A 12,582-nucleotide genomic window follows, 5' to 3' on the forward strand; every position below is an offset into this window, starting at 1 on the left:
GTGAAGATACTCTTTATAGAATCCTTCACATGTTCTTTAAACTTTAAATTGTTGTCATTTTGAACATAATTTGGCAATATTTATTAAAAGCCTTAAAATGTTTTTACCCTTTTACCCTGTAGGTCCATGGCTGATATGTCTATTAATGCTGAAATTTAGAAAACAATCATGCACATATTCATGGCAGTATTATTTATACTAGTAAAAATCAGTAACAGCATAAGTGTCCAATAGTAGGAAATACTTGCTAATGCAACTATTAAAATTATGTGTGTGAAGAGTTTGAAACAAAATAACTGCTTATGTGCAAAGAATAAGGGGCAGATACAGTATGTAAACTGTGCACCCATTAAACAATATTAAAAAATACAGAGGAAAAAAAAACTAGAAAGAAATGGGCCAAGCTACCAACAGTCGGGTAGTAAGATGCATTTTTTAAAAATTTGTCTATATTTTGCATTTTCCAAATATACTATAATGGTATTTTTGTAATTGAAAAAGCAAGTGATTTTTAAGAGAGACCCAGGATTTGGTTTTTGACAGCTCTAGCTTTGACAGTTTCTATGCTCATTTTCTCATTCCTTTTGAACCAGTTTTATTTTTATCTAAAATGTTTAAATTTATGATGATTTCATCTTGCCATATGTTTCATATCCTTCTCCAGCCATTAGGCTTCTATGTTTTTCTCCCAGAACCCACATTTCCATTTAGTAAAATGTTTATGCCAGAGTCTCACCCAGCCTAAGATAAATCTTCACCTAGGAATTACCTGCCAGGGTTGATGAATGGTAGTTAGTAGCTAAGGAGGTGGCAATTTAGGTAATTGATTCTGGCTCAAATCTTTAAGACAGTAACTTCTTTTACGCATTGGAAAGGAATTGTGTGTTTCTTGGATATATTAGCCTTGAAATGTGCATAAGGGACATGAGGTGTGGGGAAATGAGCATGCATTGTAGTTTTTAGTGCAGTCCGAGCTCAGTAAAGCAAGTGGTGAGAATATGCATAAAACCTGCTGCGTGAAGAATCTGTGCCCAGTTCCTGGCTTCAAGGTGCTTCCTCCCTGTTAGGCCTTTGGTCCTGTATGCCACTAATAGCGATGTTATTGCTGACAAGTCTCCATAGCTCTTCTTGCTCATTGGCTGGTTCCAGGGGCTGGTCCTCTGCCTCCTTTTCCCTTGCTTATGCCACTGCTCACTCCTCTTGGGTATATGCCCTACTTTATTTCTGCCATCTTCTAGGCCCTTTTCTGTTGTCATGAAGAACATCACTTCCCTGACAATACTTCTCCCAAAGTTTCAATGATATTATTATAGAAACATGGTATTATTAGATAAAAATAATTTTTAGGGCAGGAAATAATAAATGTAGACCTAAGCACTACCTGAGAGCACTACACCAGAAAGCTCATGGCGCTTGGTTGTAGCAAACTTTAAAAACAGCCTGTACGATCAAGGCAAAAGGGGGAGGATGCGCAGAAAGGGGCTGTTGCATGCTCAGTTGCCGGCTTACACTTTTCACCACTGGGGTTGCCAGAGTGGGAACAGTCTTGATTTCCATGCTTCCTGTGCTATGTAACAGCAAACTCTTTTCTACCACTGCATAGATATTATTAATAAAATGATGTCTTTAAAACTTTTAGCTTTGAACTCAACATGCTTAACATCTGGCTTGAAATCATAGCAGGAGAGATGAGTCTTCTACTTTTGTCTCAGTTCTAAAAGTGATTAAAATAAGAACTAGCAAAATGCATCATTATCTACTTAAAATGGAACCAAACTGTTTTCTTTTGGCACAATGTTAATATTTTGGCAGGAAAGTGTAATTCTTTACCAGTAGTGGTAAACTACAGGAGATCTTTGGCTTTGAGTATTTGCCATCATTAAAAAAAAAATAGTTTTGAAGTTTGAAAAAAATTTACATTAAAAAATTAAATGTAAAAAAATTAACAAATAAAAATACTTCTATTTTTCTTCATCTTAATAAAAAAAATCCTTTTTTTTTTTTGAGACACAGTCTCTCAGTGTTGCCCAGGCTGAAGTGCAGTGACACAGTCTTGGCTCAGTGCAGCCTCCACCTCGAGTTAAAGTGATTCTCCTACCTCAGCCTCCTGAGTAGCTGGGACTATGGGCGTGTGCCACCTCACCCAGCTAATTTTTGTATTGTTAGTAGAGTTGGGGTTTCACTATGTTGGCCAGACTGGTCTCAAACTCCTGACCTCAAGTGATCCATCTGCCTTGGTCTCCCAAAGTGCTGAGGTTACAGACATGAGCCACCACACCCAGCCTTCATCTTAATAAGAAATACTTTAACTGAGATTTATCTCTTTTGCTCCCATGCTACTCTTTTTGCCATCAATGGAAGAGAGAACAGGGTTTCAACAATAAGAGAATTAAGTAAGGACACAGGTGATAAAACTCTCTCCAGACCATCCCAATGAATGCCAAAGTAAACTTTGCATAGAATGTAAAAATACCTTGATTATGCTCTTATCAGAGAGCCAAATACTGATGATTTGCCCCATAAAGTATAGAAATTCCTATGAACCATAATCTAAGCATCAGAAAATCCCCAAACCCAGAATTATTTTTGCACTATTCTGGACACTAGTTGATCTTCATCATGATAACCAAGAAGCACTGTGCAGGATTCTGACTTAGCGTTTCAATCAAATTTGTATGTTTATTTAATACAACCCCAGAAAGGTTAAGTAACTTGGTGAAGACTACTTAGCCCTGAGATCAAGAGAACCTGATCTTCTGACTCCCAGGCTAGAATTTTTATTTTTCACATCACATCTAAGAAAAAGAATAAATTATATTTAATTTAAAAACCTCTGAGTTCATTTCTTATTGATATTAATGGCTAGATGTTATCTTGTGTTCCCATCACACATACCTGTAGGCATGATCACATTTAATGAACATGGGGTAAGATGAGAGCTTAAATAAGAATTTAATTTTTTTAAATATCCAGAGCAAGCTTTTCTTATAAATGGCAAACCTATCTTTAACATTCCCACCCCTGAAGAAAACCACTACTTATCTTTGCCCTTGAGTTTTTGTGGGGTTGTTTTGTTAACACTCTCACAGTGGCAACAGAAGGTATAGCTACTTTGGAGGAACCATTATTTGAGGTTTGTATGAAACCCTCAGGTCAAGACTGTGATTCTGGGCTGGGCAGGGTAGCTCCTGCCTGTAATCCCAGCACTTTGGGAGGCTGAGGCCAGAGGATCACTTGAGGTCAGGAGTTTGAGACCAGCCTGGCGAACATGGCAAAACTTCATCTCTACTAAAAATACAAAAATTAGCCAGATGTGGTGGTGCATACCTGTAATCCCAGCTACTTAGGAGGCTGAGGCATGAGAATCACTTGAACCCAGGAGGCCGAGGTTGCAGTGAGCTGAGATCACACCACTGCACTCCAGCCTGGGTGACAGAGCAAGAGTCTGTCTCAAAACGAACAACAACAACAAAACTGTGATTCTGCAATTAAAACTATCAAATAGCTTACCATGAGGCCTCCCACTTACATGACACCAAAGCATATCTGGTTCCAAATGTTTCAGTAACTAAGGCAACTATGCATTTACTTGTAGGCAGAGAAGCAACAAAGAAGAAATCAGCATCTTTTGTGGTCCTAACTTATAGGAGAAAGGCCTATGGTACTCACAATAGATAAGAGTAATGCAGTGTCGTTGCTGGGTTTTTTTCTAATTCTAAGTGTTTGAGATTTTGCTCCAAGAAAAATGATCCTGAGCACTTTTTCAGGATGAAAAGATACTAGGAGTCTTCCTTTGAGGCACATGGTTTATCTACTAAGAATGTTATCACCTTTTTTCCCATAAAACATTCCTGTTTTCTCAGATCGTCAGAGACATACTTCCTCCTATCTCCAAATGTAATGACTGTAGAATCTGTATCCACCTTTAATCCATCAATGTGACAGCCCTCCAGATCAAGTATATGATTTGACATATTTTACAAACTGGTTCTAACAGCTTCAAACAAAATCCAAAGGCTGCAACTGATAGTTCTGTCCTCAAAAAGCAAAAACTGGGTTGAGGGAAGGGAAGACATGGGGACCAGGATGGAGAGAGGAGAGAAGAGGCTGCTCTGTGCTCCATGCTCAAGGAGTAAGCAATGAAGAGTTTAGCTACTTTGTTTTTACCCTGGGTGTTTTAATAGGTACAGAGTTGTAATTATGAGATTATATTTGTGTATGTATTGATTTACTGTATTCATTGGCTCTGAATGAAGCGGAATGCCCATTCCCTGAAGCAGATGCCCTCTTTACTAGGCACTGACATTTATATCTTTACATCTTCTAATCGCTGATCTTAATGGGAAGGAAAAGAAGACTATCTTTTCTCTGGGCCTTGTCTTCTCACAGGTCTTTAACTTGAGGCTTGATATAATTCCAGTTAGCTACATCTGTAGTCTATAAATGGAACATGTTTCTGTGTATCAATGGGATGTTCATTCCCAGAGGATTCACTGTACCTTTGTCAATAGGGTCCTTGTAGGGATGCCATGCTTATGTAAAGCTGTTCTCTTCTTGTAATAAATGCAGTTGCTCCACATACTAAACCGTGTTATAGCAAGTAGTGTTTTACTGATGCTAACTTAAAGCATGTTGGAGGTAGTGTTATGAGGAGAACTTAGAGCTGGGGTACTTTCAGTGCTATGTTCTTTGTTATGGTTGTCAGTGTCTACACTGTTGAGTGAAGACACCTTTTTGTTTGCACTTAAGTTAGTTCTGCAGCACTGTCATATATATTAATTATGTGCTCCTGGAAAATGAAAATACAGATGTTTTCTTTAAACACACTAAAATATAATTCTATAAACTAAAGCCAGTTCATTCTATTTCTAACTAATTTTTAAGATAACTACCCAGCTTTGAAACAACTCCCAAACTTTAGAAACTAGAACAAAAACATGAAAGAATTTTCAATGAAAACAATAGTTTTCATCACAGGCTGCAAAAAGTAATATATATGTAGTGGTAGACTGGGCTTGAGTATAATGGGACTCACTCTAAAGGAAAGAAAATTTCATGAATCACTTTTATGAAATCTATTAACTCTTTCAGCCCACCAATCTGCAAAGTAGCAATCTTATTTTATAAAAAATGAATACCTTAATTTTGAGCCATTTATTTACTCCTTGCTGGTAGGGTCTGGCTCATGATGGCTTCAAAAGTTAGAGCTAAGAACATCACAGACATTATTGTCTAACTTGTACCTGTGTACTTGTTCTGTTTTATGCTTGCTTATTAATTTTAAATTACATATGTGGTTTTTGTTATTTTAAGGCACTCAACCAGAATGCTGAACTAAGGAGTCGGTTGAACAGAATACATTCAGAGTCTATTATTTGTGATCAGGTTGTCAGTGTAAATATTATTCCTAGCCCTGATGAGGTAAGACTCATTTTAAATAGATGCAGAGTACCTATTTTTTAGCATCTAAATTTACTGCATATTTTTGTTTATTTATATCCAGTTCTTTCACAGTTAATAAGGTTCCCTCCATAAATATTTGTGTCACTGACAGTTCAGTGTTCTTTGAAGTAAAGGTTATATAAGAGCTTGACATCATTTATACCTGGTGATCAGTGTCTATTTTTATTTATTCCTATGTTCACCTGATGCCACTGAATATTTGATTTATATATCTACTCCAGCTTGTTAATTTTCAATGTCTGTCTCATTCATCATTGGAAGTGTTCATTAGCATCAAATGGCCGGTGAAATGTTGCAAAAAAAAAAAAAAAATTAGCTGAGAAGTTGCCAAGTAAAAATGTTATTAACGTTTGTTTTGAAAGCCCTAAGGACAGAAGTCACCTGACCTTGTTAAGATAATACTAACGGTGCTGCTACAGCTACTACTGCTGCTGCTGCTGCTAATTAATAGCTGACATGTGTCAAGTGAATGCTTACTATGTGCTAGGTATTGTGTTAATGACTTTGCATGTGTTATCTCATTTGACACTCTCAACAACGCTCTGTTAGGTGGTATTATTATTCCATTTTTCAGATTGAAGAAAAGAGAATAGGAGAACATTCAGTATATGGGCTAAACTAAACTTAAGTGTATAATTCTGTTTATGACTCTCCATAAAATTATTACTTTATAGCATGAGAACTTACACTTTTTAACAGTAATGTTAGAGCTTTATATACAGTGGTGATATATGTAACAAGATGAGAGGTTTAACTGATACTAAGGTCATATTTGTACCAAAAACATACATTTTACTAGAAATCTATAGGTACAAGGGTTCTAACCTCTTAGGAAACGTTATCCCAGGACAACTTGTCTTTGACTTAAGTTTTCCACCCTAAATCCATTCACCTCCATGGGCCCTGTGTTCTCAGATAACACTTGTATTCACTCAACTGCCCAGAATCTAGAAGTATTTCTAAAATTTGTCATTCAAAAATAATTTGATAATCTCAGTTGGAATCTTCTTTTCAACCTGAAATGTGCACTAGAATATATATATACATTTCTCTTACATTTTTTATTGAAACTTAAATAGCTTCCTTGAAAACTATTTATCACTTATTGAATAAAAGTATAATTTGAAATAAGGTTCAATATTCCAGTCATGTGTTTTATTGGTTAAAATTCATGATCAAATTGGAAAGTGACGTATATAGTCTGTCTCAAAAATTAGTTTTATAGATTTTCTTAGCATAACTCTAGTAGTTTCTACGAATATTTCTTCATGTTTAATGTACCGTTAGAATATGACAGACCTAAGAATAAGAGAATGAAGTTGTCTCTACAGTCAATCAGGGTATTCATAGCGGCTTAACCTGACTCAGTATCAATCAATCAAAGATTTAAAATCAAGGCACAGTACCAACACCTTTCAACTATTCCTTTTGGGGTCTTTAGACACATTGGAAGGAAACTTATACAGTGATCATTGCTGAATTGCAAGTGAAAATTGCTTGTGGCTGCCACTTTTTAACATACAGTATTAAAGAGTAGAAATCTGGCTAATTTGAAGGAATAGCTATTCTAACAGGGAGAAAAGCAATTACACTGTATGCTTCTGTCTTCTGCAGGCTGGTGAGCAAATCCATGTCAGTCTCCCCTTATCACAGCAAGTAGCCAATGAGAGCCGCCTCTCCATGTCAGAGTCTGTTTCTGAGTTCTTTGATGCCCAAGAGGTGCTCCTCTCTGCAAGTTCGTCAGAGAATGAGGTATGTATGCCTCCTTGACTTGTTGGCCTCAACATCTTGTGACTGAGTTTGAGTTAAAGAACATAAAACTGTGGAACTTTTTGGTGATTACTTTCATTTGTTTTTTTGTTTACATCATAGTAAAATGTCCAAATTGCAGCAAAGCTAAAAGCATGCAAACTATTATGAGTTCCCAATTACTGAGCACTTAACGTTTCTGAGCATCAAGAATTTAAATTTGATGAATTAAGGGAAAGAACCAACATTTATTGGAGTGTCTTCTATGATTCCTATTTCAGGGTAACAAAAGAGTTTATGACAGAGCTGTTTATAGAAGGAGACTAGCTAATAAATATAGAAAGAATGAGAGAATTAGGAAAGCACCGTTCATGCGCATACACAGACACATACATATTAGATATTTTTGCTAGGGACATGAATTTAAACTTGGAAGGATAATGTGTAGCACATAGCTAGTTGGGTAATTATGCTTTTTGGAGGTTAACCGCTGACTATCATAAAAGCTGTACTGGATTGCTCTTCATGCTTATGATTCTTGCCAAGGTCTTGGAAACTGGGAACCTCTTCCTTGGTCAGGTTGCAGAAATTAGCTCTTTTGCTACAGTGTAGTCAACTTTTTCTGGCATGAGAAAAGCAGCCAAAACTCTTTTCCACAAAGCTGATTAGGAATTTTGTCATTTGGGATTGCAAATCTATACTGCATTTTTACAAAAAAGAAATGAAATCATTGCTAAACATTATTTCCATATGCATAGAAAACAGATTGGAAGGAAACATCCTGACAATTAGTAGTAGTTGTTTTTGGATGTTTGAAATTATGAGTGATTTTAGAAACAAAGACAAAGTGGAAAAGAGAAAGCAATAGTGAATACATATCATTTTTATAATGGGAGAAAAGTAAAATAGAATTCTTATATCAGATACAGAATTTGTCAGCATACCAAGGCATGCACCTGCCTGTCAGATCCCAAGGCATGCATTAACAGGTTCACAGCGACTTCCATTCACAGGCTGGAATGCTAATTTAATGATCTGTGATGGTAACTGATACATACTCTCAGATGGACAGAATAATCATCCTTGCTAATTAGTGCCTCTTTTCCTGTAGGCAAATCTGCATGGCAAGCCTAATTCTAGTCAGAGATTGCCTGATGAGCAAGGGACATGAGTAAACTTAAGGCTACAGGGCCAGAATGTTAGAGCTCCATACTCACCCTCCATCATAGGGATACTCTGGCACAAGGACTTGGTATTTGTGTCTGTCTGCCTGCACCCCCAGGGACCACCATGCTGTCGATAATGCTACCAAAATTTCCTTTTCTGACTCTGCCTTGCTGAGCTCCCATAGCTGACCCATCCTTCATCCTTCTTTTTTTGTTGTTGTTGTTTTTGTTTTTGTTTGTTTTTGTTTTGAGACAGAGTTTCGCTCTTGTTGCCCGGGCTGGAGGGCAGTGGCGCAATCTTGGCTCACCACAACCTCTGCCTCCCGGGTTCAAGCAATTCTCCTGCCTCAGCCTCCCAAGTAGTGGGGATTACAGGCATGCACCTCCACGCCCTGCTAATTTTGTTTTTTTTAGTAGAGACAGGATTTCTCCATGTTGGTCAGGCTGGTCTCGAAATCCCGACCTCAGGTGATCCGCCTGCCTCAGCCTCCCAAAGTGCTGGGATTACAGGCATGAGCCACTGCGCCCGACCCCTTCATCCTTCTTTAGTCAGGTTACAGTCAGACTTGACCGTGCATTATGTGAGTTCTTACCTATCATCTGATGACTTCCTAGCTTACCTTTCTGAGAGATATTTCCAAGTCCCTGGGGCACACCCCAGCTGGGACCCCAGGTACTGCTTGCCCTGGACACTGGGTATACAGAAATGAAGAGGATGTGAAGCAGGTTATTGCATGAGTCCAAGCAAGATGGTGGTGCCACCCTGGGACAGGTGAGGGGTTGGGGAGTGAATGTGGTGGCAGAGAGCGGGATAAGAAGGTGGAGGGCAGGGTCGCAGGGAGATGAGACATTCACTGTGAGGCATCATGAGTTTATCAGACCTCTCAGTGGAGTTACCTGTCAGGCATTTGCATATTTAAGTCTAAAACTCAAGGACAGAACTGTCCAAGAGAGAGTCAGCTCAGGATCTGCATAACCAGCTACCTGTTAGACACTGACACCTGGTACTCACAGAACCTCTAATTCAGCACGTCCCAAAAGAGTTCATCAACAAGCCCCACCACTCCGCCAGGGGAGAAACCCCAGCCTGCCCATACCTCTCATATCGCCTATCTAAGTGCCCCCTACCCAACTATTCACACCAAATGCCTGAAGATTTTCCTTCACTCCTTCTTTCCCTTTACTACCACCCACCTTGATTCACTCGGGTTCTATAGCTTCCATCATCTAAATACTCTCAGATTTGTACATCTTCCTGCAGCTTCAGTGCCACTGCTCCAATTCAGTTCCCATCTGCTCCCCACCTAGATCACCCCATCAGTCTCATAACTTTTCCAGTCTCCCATCTTGCTGCCTCCCATCCATTTTCCACTGGGGAACCTGAGTAATCTTCCTAAAAGGCAAATCTGATCATGTCCGTATTCCTAAGGACACTGTATCCAGTGTCCTTAGGATAATATTCTAAACTCCTTAGCTATTAAAACAAAGACCGTTATAATCTGATGCCTGCTGTCTCTCCAGCCTCATGCCACCTGTCTTCTGGAGCCTTCCAACAGCCAAAGGAATGATTTCTGGAGTTGCCCATTTGCTAAAGATACCTTGTGTCCCTTGCTGTAGCAAGGAGAGTGACTCTCTCCTACAACTCACACTGGAAAGAGCTGAACTGTACCCCCATTCCTTGTGCCCCATACCTCACAGGTTTTCATAAAATAACTGTTTTTACTTGCAACTTCTCCCTTTATCACAACACTTGGCCTTAAGTATTTGAAGGGGGTAGGCCAGCAGATAAACCCAAGTGACAGATATTATGATGTTCTCAGAGTTGCTTTTCCCCTTCAGCTAAGGCTCGGTTTCTGGGACAATCTCATCTGCCCAAGTCTCTAAGTTCCCTTATGTATAAGAGAGTTCTCACATTGCCATAAGGAAATACCTGAGACTGGGTAATTTATAAAGGAAACAGGTTTCATTGGCTCATGGTTCTGCAGGCTGTACAGGAAGCATGATGCTGGCATCTGCTTAGCTTCAGGAAACTTACAACCATGGCAGAAGGCCAAGGGGAAGCCAGCCCTCACATGACCAGAGCAGGAGCAAGAGAGCAAGGTGGGAGTTGCTACACACTTTTATACTACCAGATCACGCAAGAACTCACTCACGATCAGGAAGACAGTACCAAAGGGGATGGTGCTAAACCATTCCAGAGAAAACCGTTCCCATGATCCAATCACCTCCCACCAGGCCCCACCTCCAACACTGGGGATTAGATTTCAGTGTGAGACTTGGATGGGGACACACATCCAAACTGTATCACCTTGTGGTGAGGTCTCCCCAGAAGGCTCCTCACGCCTTCACACTCATAGTCTTAGCAACCCACCTGGTGAGTTGACTATACATGTGGGAATCCTAGCAGCAGCTGCAGGCTAGGCTCAAGCTACGTATCCTGCACTGCAGCTGCCAAAGGAAATTGGGCCCCTGCACTTGCCATCTACCCTGGCCCAAGCACTTCCCGCAGAGATCCACAACTTCAGCTCCTTCACTCTCTTCAGACCCTTACTCAAAGGTCACCTCCAGGGAAGCCTATGCTGGCTGTCCTATCTACAATTTAGAGTTGCCATTTCTTCCTTTCCTCTGACCTTTTGGGGTTTTTCTATTTATTTTTGAGACAGAGTCTCATTCTGTCACCCAGGCTGGAGTGCAGTGGTGCAATCTTGCCTCACTGTAATCTCCACCTCCTGGGTTCAAGCAAGTCTCCTGCCTCAGCCTCCCGAGTAGCTGGGATTACAGGCATGCACCACCACGCCTGGCTAATTTTTATATTTTTAGTAGAAATGAGGTTTCACCATGTTGGCCAGGTTGGTCTTGAACACCTGACCTCAAGTGATTCGCCTGCCTCAGCCTCCCAAAGTGCTGGGACTACAGGCATGAGCCACTGCGCCTGGCCTCCTCTGACCTTTTGTATCCCTCTTTCCTCATTTTTTTTCCTTCATGCTTATCACTGTCTTAAATATATATATATTTCCTATATTTCATTTGTTGTGTGTCTGCCCCACTAGAACATAAATTTCATGAAGGCAGAGATTTAACCACTGTGTCTCCTGCACTAAAACAGTTCTGGTGAGCCCAGAGCAGGTACTCAATAAATATCTGCTAACTGAGCAAAGGAAGAAATGCTTATAATGATTATTCTGAGAAACATCTGGGCATTAGCTGTCTTACATTAACATTTTCCATGGCAGAGGGAAAAATCCTCTTTATATGTTATTTACCAATGCACTTTACTGAATGAATCCTCTGCTCTTTTAAAAAATGTTCTTCTTGCTTCCACAATAATCTATTTGCCTTTACTTTTAAACTTGTTTCTGCAATGCTGCATGCCTGGTCACATTTAGGAAAAATATATATTTTCTGAACTCTTTTGAATCCCTAAGTTTGTAAAGAGAAATACTTGGTTCCAGGACTTCTTAACCACGGGGCAGAGGACAAACTGTTTGATTACAATAGTGCAGAGCCTTGGCTCTTTGTGCAGGGTAGCGTGAATTGACCACAGCAAGATAGCCCAGCCTTAGTTACTGCACACATGTGACATGTATACATCTTACTCAAGGCCCACTATTATTGTAGAATTCTTTTACACCAGTGATTTCTGATCATTTCTATGATATATTAGTTTGGGAGAGATTAGAAATTGAAGAGGAAGGCCAGGCATGGTGGCTCATGCCTGTAATCCCAACACTTTGGGAGGCAGAGGCAGGATGATTGCTTGAACCAGGAGTTTGAGACCAGCCCGGGCAATACAGGGAGCCCCCACCTCTACAAAAAAATAAAATAAAATAATTAGCTGGGCATGGTGGTGCATACCTGTGGTCCCAGCTCCTTCAGGAGGCTGAGGTGGGAGGATCCCTTGAGCCCAGGAGGGAAAGGCTGTGTCGAGCTGTGATTGTACCATTGTACTCCAGCCTCGGTGACAGAAAGAGATCCTGTATCAAAAAAGAACGAAGGAACGAAAAAAAGAAAGGAAGGGAGGGAGGAAGTAAGGGAAAGAAGAAAGAAAGAGAGAGAGAGAGAAAGAAAAACAAAGAAAGAGAAAGAAAGAAAGAAAAGAAAGAAAGAAGAAAGAAAGAAACAGGAAGGAAGGAAGGAAAGGAAGGGAGGGAGGGAGGGAGGGAGGGGAAGGAAGGAAAGGGAGGGAGGAAAAGGAGAAAGGAGG

At 39.9% G+C, this 12,582-nt stretch overlaps 1 protein-coding gene across 50 annotated transcripts in view; it reads left to right on the plus strand.

Annotated features, from left to right (window-relative positions):
* Positions 1-12,582, plus strand: part of OSBPL6 (oxysterol binding protein like 6) — a 209,120-nt gene that overhangs the window by 173,039 nt on the left and 23,499 nt on the right. For 33 of the 50 annotated variants that reach the window (XM_047443146.1, XM_047443130.1, XM_047443154.1 and 30 more), the window contains 2 exons: positions 5,314-5,421; positions 7,078-7,215. In XM_047443146.1, coding sequence (XP_047299102.1) covers positions 5,314-5,421; positions 7,078-7,215 — 246 coding nt within the window. The remainder of the gene's footprint in view (positions 1-5,313; positions 5,422-7,077; positions 7,216-12,582) is intronic. The other 17 variants (XM_047443150.1, XM_047443165.1, XM_047443149.1 and 14 more) reach the window with 1 other exon arrangement.

The sequence above is a fragment of the Homo sapiens genome, chromosome 2, assembly GCF_000001405.40.
Source record: "Homo sapiens chromosome 2, GRCh38.p14 Primary Assembly".
Taxonomy (NCBI): Eukaryota; Metazoa; Chordata; class Mammalia; order Primates; family Hominidae; genus Homo; species Homo sapiens.